We start from the raw sequence: 13971 nt of genomic DNA, 5'->3' as shown, positions 1-13971 counted from the left end.
CTTTATCTAGCCCTGCAAAATCTTTTAAACAGACTACCCCAAGAACTTATTAACTGGCTTGCAGGTCTCACCCCCACTCCCAGACCTAAACCCCAGTGTGGCTAGACATGTCTTCCCAGCACAGGATCAAAACCAAACTCCCTCATATGCCAAGCGCCTCAGCTCTCCTCCGCAGCTTCACCACCCACTACTCATCTTCATTTGTAATGACAGCAGTAATATTAACAGCTAAAATTTATTGAGAATTTTTACATGCCAGTCATTTCATTAAGCATTTTACACATATGAATGCATTTTAATCTTTACAACAATCCTATAAGATAAATACTTATCCCTATTTTATAGACGGAGCAAGTGAAGTCCAAAGTTAACATAACCAATCTCATACAGTCAAGATGTTAACCCAGGTAAATGGGCTTCAGAACGACCCTCTTAACCACTGTGCAGTACTGCCCCTTCCAACTCTCTGCTTCAGCAATACTAAGCCATGTCTAGTTCCTGGAACTCTGTGTTGCCAAGGTCACCAGGCCTTTGTACACACCATTTATCCTGCCCCTTGGAAAGGCTCTGTTCTTCACTTTCGTCAACAGCAAATATCTTTCAAAACCTTTTCTATGTGGTGTCTCTTCTGGTTCCCTGAGACCAAATTCTCTCTTACTCACTGAGCTTATATGTGAGCTCCTATGGCTTATATGTACCTTGTAAATACTTCTTGATTGTCCTGGTTTGCAATGATTCATTTACTTGTCTTCATTGAAAGCATGCCTACAGCTTTCAAAATTGGGTCACAGTGCCCAGGTACACAATAGGTGCTTAATAAATGTGGAGTTAATTGGGATTTGGGTAAAAGGGGTGAGTACAGGTTTACTAACACCTGGAATACCAGGGCAAGAGGGAAGAGGATTCTCTATAGTTCTCATAGTCATGACATATATTCATGAGCAAAACAAAGGAAAAACTCATCAAACACTACAGATGTATCTGAAGGGAAGATGCCGAATGCATAAAAAATTCAATACATCCTGACAACTACAGGATTTAGTTTAAGATCCCTGAAGGTACCTGCTGTTCATAGCAATTACTGAGTAATGTGAATTCTGCAAAAAACAACTACCAAAATAAAAACCCCAAAAACTTCTTTTTTGGTTCTCAGAAAAAGACATTTGGAAACTTGCTCAAAGTGATGAACTGAGTCACAAACTACCCATCGGCGTGGAAAATGGTTTTATTGATTTAGGCATCATCAAGGTTGAAAGATTATCATTAAGCAAAATGAAAACATGACAGATTTCTAAACATTAAGGTTAAAACACAAGCATCTTCTGGATTCTCAAGACTGCACTTCAGCAAAACTAAAGGCCCAACTCAAAACTTAGCAGCAACATTTAGAAATCAATTGTAGCCCTTTCCTTAAGGTGTGACAGAGAGCAGATATAATTAAAAGAGAAGCTTGATTCGTTTCCCCCAAAAGTTTTTCATCCAATGGGCAAAGAAAAGATGCTATAAACATAAGCAGTGACATGAATGCAGGCCAACTAATTTCCATTCTGAGTTGTGAGAGGATCCTCAATGAATGGAATAGCCACAGACCTATGAAACTGAAAATCTCTGAAACATGCAATCATTACTTCAGTCTAAAGCAACAAGTTTTCGTATAAAGTCTCTTCATTTATGCCTAGGTTTCTGTCCCTCAAAGCAGCAGGTGAATGGCTGTACTGAGACTACCTTGAGGAAATGAGGGGAAGGGAGAGGAGGACAAAGCCAGTTATATAGAAGGAACTATTTCCAATGGAACATGTAAGCTATACAGCAACAGAGTAGACAAAAGCCAGTGTGCATCCCAACAATCTCATGTCTGCCATGGTCAAGACAAAAGAGAATGAAGGGCATAATATACTGTCCTTGGGACGTAGCACAAGGGACAGAGTCTTTCAGTTCATCAGTACTGTGTCATCTTTGAGAATCTAGGCCTGAGAGTATGTCTGTAGGCTTCTTTCCTCAGGAACCCCAAGAGTTACAGGCACAAGTAGGGCTGTAGGTTTTAAGAAAAACCTTCAATATTTTTCTCTGAGAGTACAAACTAACAAACCAGCATCACATTGAACTATAAGGCAAACGTAATGTAGCAAACCAAAAGTTTCCATGATGACAATTTCTACCATAATAAAGGTTTAAGGTAAGAGTCTGAAACCATTCAAGCTCTCGTTTAAGTGTGACAAACATTCTATCCTTATGAGTTCTAAGATGCTCATTCATAGGCTCAAAGCTGAATTTTACTTTGATAGATGCAAGAAGCTGATATTAAAGAAAAAGCTAAGATAAAGTCCTCCAGATTACAATGTTAATCAGAACAAACAGATGGGATAAAATATTCAAAATGAACAATCTGTCACACAAGTCAGCAAGTGTGCAGGAGAGGAACTAAGTTTGGGAATGAGAGATATCTCAAGGGTTAAGGCATATCTGACTGATGATGACAGCAAGGTGTCCTCACCTGGACACTGGGGACACCCTTATCGAGGATGGCAAAACAGAACAACTTGCGAACAGAAAGGTCCTTTGGAAAGGAGAAAAACTACTCAGCCCGGTAAGGTACAGCATTAGACTTGGAAAAGGAAACAGGATTTAGAACAGTTAAGGGGCATCTCAAAAGTAGAAGTCACAATGTAAGCACATGTTTCATGTCCTTAGGGAAGGACATGGAGCCAGAATTGATCACTGTATAATAACAGGATGCAATAGCCACATACATTGCCCTGGAGATGAGGATACCTAGCCTTCTGAATCTACATAATAAATATAAAGCAATGCTAGCCCTTTGAGACAGACAATGACTCGATGGATGTAGAGATGATCTTTGGGATGTTTATTTCCAAACTGCAAAACCTGAAAATCTCCAGCAACAAACAGGCTGTCATAACCTTTACTCTTAAAAGGGGGAGAAGAAAATCCCCTTCCCTCTCTATTTTGCCAAATTGAAGATACGGTTTCATGACTTGGGGTGGAAACAGCCCACCCAATGCTCTCCCATTTTACTGGGAAGAATTCAGGTTTCCTTAGAATCTAGGCTCTCTGTCAGTGTGAGCTGTCTGAATTGGAGTGTTCAGGCTGGACAGGTACTGCCCTAAAGCCAGGCTCAGAGCAGCCTGAGAATCCTCCTGCATCTGACTCTCTCCAATAATACTATCAACAGGTAGGTAGGAAGAAGAAAGGCTCCAACTGCTCTACGGGTTCAGACACACACATACGATGCCAGAACAGACTTCTCTCCCTAAGAACTGGTTCCAGGTAAGAGTAGAGGCTGTACCGCAGCCAGGACTACACAACTCAGAAATATTTAAGGGATTCTGTCCAGCTGAAATGGTAAGAAATCATACGAATTATCACCATGTTGAGCAGTGGCCTAGTTCATGTGTAGCATGTATCTCTCTTCAACTTTATTAGTTGTCTTGGAGGTTTGGTGCATGGTTGACACAACTTGATGAGCAATACTACAAAATGAGCAATACTACAAGAGAGGGTCTCTGACCATATATGGCAGAACGAGAAAAACATAGTCACATTACTTAAAAGGTACAACTTCAGAATCCAACATAGTTTAGTGGTATCAACACTTCAAACTGCATCAAAAAGCAAATATGACTTTGAAACCTGCCAGATGTCTCTCTCATACACACAGGTGCACATGTGATTTGTGTGTGCACCCATGTATATAAACAGTGTATGTGAGTATTCCAGGATGTTTCTGAAATGTAAGAAACCATGAAAAACTTCAAAAGGAAAAACTAAGTTTTCTAAAGTATCACATATCCACATTTATACTACAAAAAGTTACAGGTATAACCAAAAAGAACGAACCATTTTCTTGGGTTCTTTGAACACTGAAGCATAGAGATTGTGAAGCTCCAAATCTGAGAGCCTGCATCCTGTTTATCTGACTGCAAAGTTGCTCTCATGCATGTTCACATGTACATGCAAGGCAAGTTTTGAAGGAAAACAAAGAATCAGTATTAACACAACTCAAAAGGTGTGCCCCTCTAAAAGTACAACAATCTTACTTTTCTGTGCTGGACACAAATGTGGTGAGAAATGCCTCCTTCAAAGTCATAGTCTCTCAACACAAGTGTCAGCAAACTCTTGGAACTGCCTGTCACTTGTGGCATGAGCTTCATCTTGACATTAAAATTCTTTTTCTTTCCCCATCTTTTCTATCAAATATACGTTACAAAATGAAAAGGACACTCCTGTATTAGTAATAAATGCCAGCAAACCATTGAAAAATCAAAATGACAAAGTTATGTAGATCTGCCTCTCCACAGATAGTATGAAATAGCTAACCTGGGCTATCCTTGCATCGTACATCTGCATCTTATAAAGGTCAAATATTTAATAGAGAGGAACATCTGAAGGGCTCAACGAAAAGTACCAGAAGCCTCAATGACTGGGTGAATGAAATGGATAAACATGATCAGGTCAAAGGGACAGACTTAGACAAAGTATCTCCTCCTCTTTCCCTTTTTCTCCCCCACCTCTCACAAGGAAATGTCTTATTATCCACATTTCAAAAGGAGAAAACCTATGAGAAGCACATTTATCAGGGTTACCCAGGAAACCACAAGGACGAAGAAATACCTGAAACAGTACCCCCTCCCCTAGCGGGGCATAAACTTTTCAAAGTGTCACCCAATACACAAAACCCCAGCTCCTGAGGGGCTCAGGCAGCTCCGCCTGTGGGCCCCTGGGAAGTGAAAGCATTCCCTCTCCAGGCAGAGATCCCCGCGTTTTTACCTTTGTGTTCGCCGAAGCCTGTTCCCACTCCTCAAATGAGGCAAAGTAAAGTTTGAGAGCACAGTCCAAAAATTGGGGTCAGACATATCCATTTCTTTCTCTCTTCAATTCACTGTGGGTTCAAGGCCATATGACTAAAATGGGGAGAGGTAAAAAAAAGGAAGAAAGACAAGGCCAAAAATAAAAAAAAAATCCCAATTATCTACTCACTCCCTCCAGAGAAAATGTGATGGGAACTGTGATCTCAAGAACAACTTGGAGCATGTCTGAGAAGTACCCGTCCCGTCCTAGCCTTTAATTAACACACAGCCTCCTCTCAAAGGTCCGGGAAACTGATTTCCTCTCGGGTCTGCCCTCTCCTAGTCAGGCTCGGCCAGCTATAAACAGTAATTACATGAGTTGAGCCGTGCGTTCTGCTCAAAGCGCTGTCTGTGGGATTCAGTCGGAGGTACTTTGTCATCTGTTTGGCAGATACCACTCGCCGCTTCTGCGAGGGGCGGGGGAGACGACTATTTTGAGGCTTTGGTTCCGGAGGCTGTTGCTTATCAGCAAAACCATTCACATCCGAACATGCCCAGTGCCGAGTTTCCTTTTGGTATCTACATACAAGGAAAAGAATTTGAATAGAAAAAGCTGCTCTTGCCCTCCCCTCCTGAAAAAAGCGGAAACTTAAAAGCACTTTTAAAAAATGGGCCTATTGGAGGACTTGAACCTGACACCTTTGTGGACCCTTCCAGGGTCCGGCTGGGAGGAGGCGGCAGGGCCTTGTCCCTGGACAGCTTGGTGGCCGCGCCCCCAGCTTTCCTGCATCCCCCACCCCCCACCAGCCCCGGCCGCGCCTGAGGAGCGGGGGCTCACGGGAAAGGGAGCAGGCGGCCGCGGCGCGACCCCAGCCGGTGCCGGGACAGCCCCGCAGCCTGGGCCGCCGCTCCCCCTCCCCGGAGCCCGGAATGGATCCGTCCCGGAAATAAATAAATAAACCCGCGGCTGCTCCGGGTGTGTGCTGCGCGCACCTGAGGCCGACCTGTGATTCACCGCGGGAGGGATGGCAGTGACAACGCTCCGGGGAAGTCCACAGTGACTCCTCCGCCAGGACGCCGCTGGTTGTATAGGAAAAGCACGCGGACGGGAAGCCACACTCACCGAAAACCTCAGTAAACTAAATTTATGAGTTTACATCTGTTCCATCAATGACCACGGTGCACACCTGTTTGGCTTCATGGCCGGCAACTACAGATCTAGGTAATGGTGAGCCCCGATGTGGAAAGACACTACCTGGCATTTATGTGGCAAATGCTACAAGTATTGCCCCTTCAAGTACGTTAGACCTTGAAAGGGCAGAATGAAGGGGGCTGAATGTTCTTGTTATTCATTTTGAAGAAAGGCATGGTATTTAAATATCTCCCCCTATCCATGAATGTTTGTATAAAGTACATAAAGAAAAAATATAATTTAAATTAGCTGCCTTAAGTCTGGTGTAATATGGCAAGAAATACTAAATCAAAAAAGTATATATTCAGCAAAAAATACATCTAAAAATGGCTTAGTCCATGCAGTAAATACCAGGAACAAACTCGCTTACAAAAATGGGAGGATAAAGAGAAGGAAGAGGGGGTGTAAGCTGACAAGGTAGGCGGGGTAAACAAAAAGAAGCCTGCTGTGGGATCTTCTTTATCTAATTCTTGTGGCCCACATTAATATTTTCACACCAAGGACTCCAAGAGTTTTGGATGATGTTTCATGTCCAAGGCTTTCGTATGCGTTATCTCCTCACATTCTTACAGAGCCTCCACAGATCCTTGCAACCCACAGAGGTAGACAAAGAAGGCATTATTTTCTCAATTTTACATTTGGGACTTTATCCCAAACATTCAGGGACACTAAATGACAAAACACACTTCAATAGATATTAATGAGCTTGGTCCAGCATTTTTGCCCCATGCTCTTCTTTTAAAAAATGTTTCTAAGTATTGCAAAAGATGTTTTGAAGGCTGACACAAAAGAGTGTCCCTGTGCTCCGGAGCAGTTTCTAGACCTCAGCACTGTTGACATAGGCTGGATAATTCTTTGTCTGAGGAGCTTTCTTGAGCATTGGAGGATGTTTAGCAACATTGCTGACCTCGACCTACTAGATGCCAGTGCTGACAATTAAAAATGTCTGAGGACATTGCCAAATGTCCCTTGGGAGGTAAAATCACCCCTGGTTGGGAACCACTGCTCCAGATAAAGGCTTCTCTGAGAGGGGTGATACAGAGCACTGGTTTAGAGCAAAAATTTTGGGTCTGAATTCTGGATACAACACTTACTATGACCTTAAATCTCTTCTCATTTTCCCCAGCTGCAATATGGGGTCCATAATAGGACCAACCTGTAAGAGGCTGATATACATAAATGAAGAGGAGATGGCATACATAAGCCCTTTCACGCAATGTCTACACACACACTGCGCATAAATGTAGGCAGTATACAGAAGCTAAGAGAATACTATGCTGACAGACATAAGACTGGAGCAGAGGACACCCCACAATGTGCTTCTTTCTACTCTCTAGAGTCTTCAACCAGGCTGCTGATCACACTGTGTATAATTGACTGTTTACTGCTGTCTTTCCAATTAGTCTGAGTTCCTCAAGGCTAAAGTCACATTTTACTGATCTTCATATTTTCAGAACCTGACAGCTCCTCAGTTTATATAGGCATTTAATATTAGTAAATCCTTTTTGAATGGATACTTCAGAAGCCCAAGTATCTCTTATTTCTCTTAAGATGCACTGAAACTATTAGTACTAGTAGATCTGTATTCTCAAAGAATACTGAATTTTTGAGAATCCCATGAAGACGGTAAATTCTGAAGACTTTCTCTTAGTGACTTATTTGTATCTATATCATGTAGCTGGAAAGATATCAGTGCTAACATTCCTCAGGTCTTTACATGGCTCTAAGAAATGTCACAATCAAACTCAAGGGGAATTCCCTTTGAGTCCCATGTCCCCTCCTCAAAGGCAAGCCCAGAGAATAACTTTTTGTGCTCACTTGTAGGTATCCAAGATCAAGAGGGACAATTACATATTATAAGCCGCACAGAGAAGAGTAATCAAGGTGGACATGAACTTGTGCTATATAAGTTATGGGTTGAAGAACTCTGTGGAAAGTAGAGAAGAAAAAATTTAGGGAACAAGCAGTAGTTGAATACAGCTATGTGAAACTATGAGAACTATGTGAAAGAGTGTTTGGATCCAAAGATGAAAGAGCTGACACAAGAGTGGATTTTCTGAGAGCTGTTTGAGCAGAGAAAACTTGAAGGAGATACAGTGAGTAGAACACAACCTGTAGGTGGTTTGAAGACCTGAGGACTCCAATACCTCCCAACTCTCATATTCTCTATAGTTTTTCTAGAAAAGCCCATGTATTGGGGCATAACCTATAAAGATGATAGCAACTAAAATGGATAAATCAATGACATAAAATGTTTATTTCTTCTCTTGATTAAATGACAGATACCCCAATCTGCAGGCATCATATGTTATGACTGCCTCCACTCTCTGCATTTTGAGAAAGCCTCTACAGAAATTCTCAAAGGAATGGGTAAAGACATGAGTATTTTTAACTACATATACTTTAAATTTATTTTTTTTTTTTGCATTTAAAAGGCTTGAGAGGATTTGGGTTGTATCCAAACTGAAAAAATAAAAATAGGTTAAGTACATGAGGAACCAGAATGAATTAATATAGTGAGCGAAAGTGGATTGTACATTCCCACACTCATGAAGATAAGAGTACAGATGACACTGAAGTGTGAGTTGTCTTCTAACCTGTTTGACTTGATTTGGTTACATATGATTCAGAAGGCAGAGCAGTCGGTAAACACAAGAATTAAAATTGTCAAAACTACTGACATTTTCCTACAAAATAATTATATGGGCAGAAACTATAGTTGCGACTGCAGTAAAACTCAACTGCAGAACAAAGAGGGAACTGAGATTACTGGAAATTCTTAAGACTATAGCTGGTCTAGGTCAATATAGAGATATTCAGCAGGATTTTCTATTGTGTAACAACTAAGCCTATACAACAATGGACAAGCTTTGTGGTTCAGAACTTTCATTCATTTAATCAGGATGACATTGTTAGCCATTGGTTTTGTAAGGTAAATGAAACTAAAAAACAAGCTTGTCATCCTACTGAAATGCAAGCTTAGGAAGAAATAAGTATTTAAGAAAGGGTCAAATCCTTCACTATTACCTCCCCTTCTACATACAAAAAATGCCAGGTCCTTTTTACTGACTTGAATTCTGTCTACTGCCCACCTGTTGACACAAGCCACCCCCCCCCTTTTTTTTTAGACAGAGTTTCACTCTTGTCGCCCAGGCTGGAGTGCAGTGGCGCGATCTTGGCTTACTGCAACCTCTGCCTCTCAGGTTCAAGCGATTCTCCTGCCTCAGCCTCCCAAGTAGCTGGGATTACAGGCAGTCGCCACCACACCCAACTAATTTTTTTGTATTTTTAGTAGGGACGGGGTTTCACCATGTTAGGCAGGCTGGTCTCGAACTCCTGACTGCAGGTAATCCACCCGCCTCAGCCTCCCAAAGTGCTTACAGGCGTGAGCCACCACAGCCGGCAACACATGCCCTTTAAGAAGGGGTTTTCTCCAGTCCACGTAGAACAATGTTAAAAGATAATATGCCTGGAGTCTTGTCTTGAACTTAGATTCTATGAAAAGACTTAGTTTTCTAGTGTGGATGTGAAGTCTGCAAAGCTGTCAGCTCCCTGTGCAGGACACTCGGGCCATGAGGCCATGCCCAATAAGACACTAAGTTGAGATTTCCTAAGCACTCTACCTGATCCTGGCCTATTCTAAGGATTTTGCCCTAAACTAACTTTGACATCTTCCCATCCCCATTTTCAGGGCACCTAGAAGTGACTAGTTCCCTAGGGCTGTCCACACCTTCAAGTCCACTTTGGTCACCTTCTAAATGTGGTCTTGAGAGTTTGAGGCTAGAACTGTGAACAGCAAACTGGCTGTCCTGAATGAGCAATCCTTGTAATCATTTTGTACATCCCAAGAAATAAAGTTTAATACTGGGACAGAAATGGGAAGAAAGTTACATCAATGAGGAACAGGTTGAAGAAAGCGTTTCTAATATTATTAAACAAATTTGCACTCACAATGCTAAAATATGGAGAAAGATAAAAAGATAGACAACAATTAACTTGTAGGGATAGGCCTGAATGCTGAAAACTAAGACAGATAATAGGCAAGGTTGTATCATCCTGGAAAATACCAAAAAATATTTTAAAATAATGCCACAAGGTAAGAGAGGTTCAGATTTTTAAAGTGAATGAGTAAAATGAAAGAAACATTATCCTGGAAGCAAAAAAGGAAAAGGAAAAAAAAAACCCAAAACAAAGGAAACAAAATAAGAATTCTATTTCCTGATGGGTTGAGCAAAGAACTACACAATCTCCGAAGGTAGTGTAAAGGATACAGTCTGAAGCAAGTAAAGGACATGCTAAAGACTGGCCAGAATGGGAAGAGAATGCAAGGTCTTTCTCAGGCATTCTCTGGATCCCAGGAGAATCAGAGACACGGAAAAGATTAGCAGATAACCTATAAGCTAACAAAATATAAGAGAAGACAGTGCATAGATATGGGAAATGAAGCACTTATCTCCCAAGGCAGTGAGTGACTCCTTGATATGTATGATTGATAATTAGAGTAGAATACATATATGGCACACAGCCCATAGGACTGGAGAAGGTGCAGAATCATGTCTTGCAAGCACACTCCAGCACTCTACCTTCTGACTTTCAAGCAGGGGAAGTTCCTGGGAGAAGCCCCATAGCTTAGTCCCAACAGAGTTCCACCCCGTGGGAGAACAGCTGGACACACTGCCAGAAAACACATGGCATCCTTACAGGGATGAAGGGGTCATGCAAAAGAAGGAGACTACTGGGCAAGATCCAGAGATGAGTGTATCTCTCCATTCTAAAACAGCTGTCTGGAAGATCCATCAATAAACCACGTGGAGCACTGGCCTCCACCCAAGCCAGTAATCCAATTATGAAGTAGACAGCAACACTTGGAGATCAATGCATCACCCGGCAAACAGAAAACCTAACTCCTATCTTGTTTTAAGACCAACCTTGTTGTCACTTTAGGCAGCCTTCATGGGAGCCCCCCATCCCCAATGAATTAGATATCCCTCTACTGGGCTGTGCTCCTGAGAGCTCCTGCATGAAAGGGTTCTTCCACTGTATCAAAATCCAAATCATTTTGTGCACATTATCAGTCCCTATTAGAGTAAGAGCTCCTTGAGGGCAGGGGCTTTATCCCCTCATCTTTAAACCATCACTACCACCATTGGGATGAATATTAAGCAAAGGGAGAAAGGGAACAATAGAGAAAGGATTGGGGGTGAAGGGGTGGGCAGGGGAAAGAAGAGATTGAGGATGGATTTGCTACAGGTTAGAAAGATGTGTGATAACAAAGTTAGGGCTACCTGCCTAATATTTTAAAGACTGACCCTATATGTGTTTTAAAAACCTTTTCCTGTCTATTTCAATTTCAGTTTCATGGGTCCATGAGTCCATTCCATTATCTATATAAGCTGTACCTATTAGGCAGGTCTACTGTTTCAAATTTCAAAATCTCAACAGAGACCATGATAGGTAACGAATTGCGTTTAAGTATAAATATACAACTAGTTGTGTATGAAGTGCTAAATTCTTTTTGATGGTAACAGTGAACCATGGCTACTAATCATTGCATTAGATGCTCAATCTGGAATTAACTTCAAGGACAAGGTGCTTCTTGATCCAGAAACTTGGGTCTAAGGTGCATCATTTCTTATACAGCTCTTGAGCATGAATTATAGTGCAATTATAAGAAGTGTCAATTTGGTTTAAGTGGGTCAGCATGGTTATATTTAGCCCTTTCGTAGCTGACACTAAGACCTTTCTGTAATTTAAGATTAAGGTTAATTTATCCGTTCTTCTTTTCTTGAATATTTTTTCCAGGTCATACATCTAAAGTTATGGAAAATTATGCCATTAAAATGAGAAGTATGAGTTTTCATCAAAGTACCAAACAGGGAGCATATACAGAGGTAGAAATCACATGCTTCTGTAACAATCGGAATTTCCTTCCATTGCTAAGATCAATTCCAATTATTCCACACATCGGAAGATATGTCAGGGAGGACATGAAGTTATTTAGTCAAGGAGTTCTATTAAGTTATATCACTTCTATACCAACAAAAAGTTTAAAAGAAACGTTAATTCATAGGGGTATAAATATAATGTCAGGCATGACAAGTGTTAACTCTTACTAGTTATCATAAAATGTAATTAAAACATCAATCAGGCTGGGCATGGTGGCTCACACCTATAATCCCAGCACTTTGGGAGGCAGGTGGTGCACCTGAGGTCAGGAGTTCAAAACCAGCCTGGCCAACGTGGCGAAACCCCGTCTCTACTAAAAATACAAAAAATTAGCTGGGCATGGTGGCAGGTGCCTGTAATCCCAGCTAGTTGGGAGGCTGAGACAGGAGAATTGCTTGAACCCCAGAGATGGAGGTTGCAGTGAGCCGAGATCATGCCACTGCACTCCAGCCTGGGCAATAGAGTGAAACTCTATCTCAAAAAAAAAAAAAAAAGAGAAAAGAAAAAAAACACATTAATTAGGTATCAATTTACCTGTTTCACTGGTAAAGATTAAAAAAAGATAATACTCAATGTTGGTAAGGACATGGGGAAGATAAGTACTCTCTACTAACTTTCTGGAAGGCAATTTGGAGAAGGAAAACATATACATACATAGACCCATATATGGTCACATACATATATATACATGTAGTAGGCACATATGTGTACATGTCCAAACACATATATAAATGTATGTGTCCATATATACATGTACATATAATATATACATAGATATATTTGAATTATAATTTAATATGCAATATTTATACAAAAGATACAATCAAGTATGCACACAGATTTGTGGATATGGAAATTAATCTCAGAATTGCTTATAATAGCATAATGTTGGGAAAAAGCCAAAGGTACAAGATGAGGGCAATTGTTAATACATCCTAAAACAGCCACAAAATAGAATTTTAGAAAACCAGTAAAGAATTAGAATTACAGTAGGCTGAATAATAGATTCCAAAGATATCCAGGTTCTAATCTCTGGAACCTGTGAATATGTTACCTTATATAGCAAGAAGAGTTTTGCAGATGTAATTAAGAATCTTGAGATGAGGAGTTGGTCCTAGGTTATCCAGGTGGGCCTTAAATATAATCACAAGTGTCTCTATGAAAGTGAGGCAGAGGGATACTTGAAGAAGGCAGCAATGTGGCACTGAAATGAGATGCTAGGCTGCTGGGCCTGAAGATGGAGGAAGGGGACAAGAGCCAAAAAACTGCAAGGAATGCAGCTCTAGGAGCTGGAGAAGGCAGGGAAACAGATTCCACCTCAGCGCTTCTAGAGGGAGCTCAGCCCAGCCGACACCTTGATTTCAGCGCACAGAAATTGATTTCGGACTTCTGACCTTTAAAATTCTAAGAGAATAAATAAATATAAGCTAGTTTTAAGCTAGTTTGTTATAATTTGTTATAGTAACCAGAAGAAACTAAAACAATGATATTTTTAAAAAATATGTAATAAATGGGAAATGCTCCTGAAGTAATATTTTAAAATCAGAAAAAAATGAAGTTCTATGATCTACATTAAGATATTATATATATGGTTATATACGAATAAAAACGATGGAAATCAACAAAGTATATATATATATATTTTTTTGAGATGGAGTTTCACTCTTGTTGCCCAGGCTGGAGTGCAATGGCACGATCTCGACTCACTGCAACCTCTGCCTCCGGGGTTCAAGCAACTCTCCTGCCTCAGCCTCCCGAGTAGCCGGGATTACACGTGCCTGCCACCATGCGCAGCTAATTTTGTGTATTTTTAGTAGAGACAGGATTTCACTATGTTGGCCAGGCTGGTCTCAAACTCCTGACCTTAGGCAATCCACCCACCGCAGCCTCCCAAAGTGTTGGGATTATAGGCGTGAGCCACCATGCCTGGCCAACAAAGTATTTTTAATGAACATCTGTCAGTACAGAATTATGATTTATCCTCTTTTATACTTCTCATGTTTTTTTACAAGTTTGTGTGTGTGT

The 13971-nt window shown here is 41.0% G+C and overlaps 1 protein-coding gene and 1 long non-coding RNA gene across 25 annotated transcripts in view, besides 1 other annotated feature; one reads left to right on the top strand and one right to left on the bottom strand.

The window, feature by feature from the left end:
* MAST4 (microtubule associated serine/threonine kinase family member 4) overlaps nt 1-13971 on the bottom strand; it is a 573201-nt gene that overhangs the window by 159720 nt on the left and 399510 nt on the right. For 2 of the 24 annotated variants that reach the window (XM_006714606.4, NM_001290227.2), the window contains exons 1-2: nt 5183-5219; nt 4789-4922 (exon numbers count right to left, since the gene is read on the bottom strand). The exons of 19 other annotated variants lie outside the window; for them this stretch is intronic. In XM_006714606.4, the coding sequence (XP_006714669.1) occupies nt 4789-4880 (92 nt within the window). In that variant the 5' untranslated portion in view covers nt 4881-4922; nt 5183-5219. Of the gene's footprint in view, nt 1-4788; nt 5220-13971 lie in introns of those variants that run through there. 3 more of the 24 variants (NM_001297651.2, NM_001393527.1, XM_047417165.1) reach the window with 2 other exon arrangements.
* Nucleotides 5503-5842: a silencer, noted in NCBI's record as "silent region_16069". NCBI's record gives its function as "represses an Ori minimal core promoter by ATAC-STARR-seq in GM12878 lymphoblastoid cells {active_cell/tissue: GM12878}" and the evidence as "EXISTENCE:reporter gene assay evidence [ECO:0000049][PMID:35858748]".
* MAST4-AS1 (MAST4 antisense RNA 1) lies at nt 5720-8256 on the top strand. Its single transcript, NR_111908.1, has 2 exons — nt 5720-6030; nt 7825-8256. It is a non-coding gene; the product is annotated as an MAST4 antisense RNA 1 (long non-coding RNA).

The sequence above is a fragment of the Homo sapiens genome, chromosome 5 (assembly GCF_000001405.40).
Source record: "Homo sapiens chromosome 5, GRCh38.p14 Primary Assembly".
Taxonomy (NCBI): Eukaryota; Metazoa; Chordata; class Mammalia; order Primates; family Hominidae; genus Homo; species Homo sapiens.
This window is presented reverse-complemented; position numbering and strand designations above follow the sequence as displayed.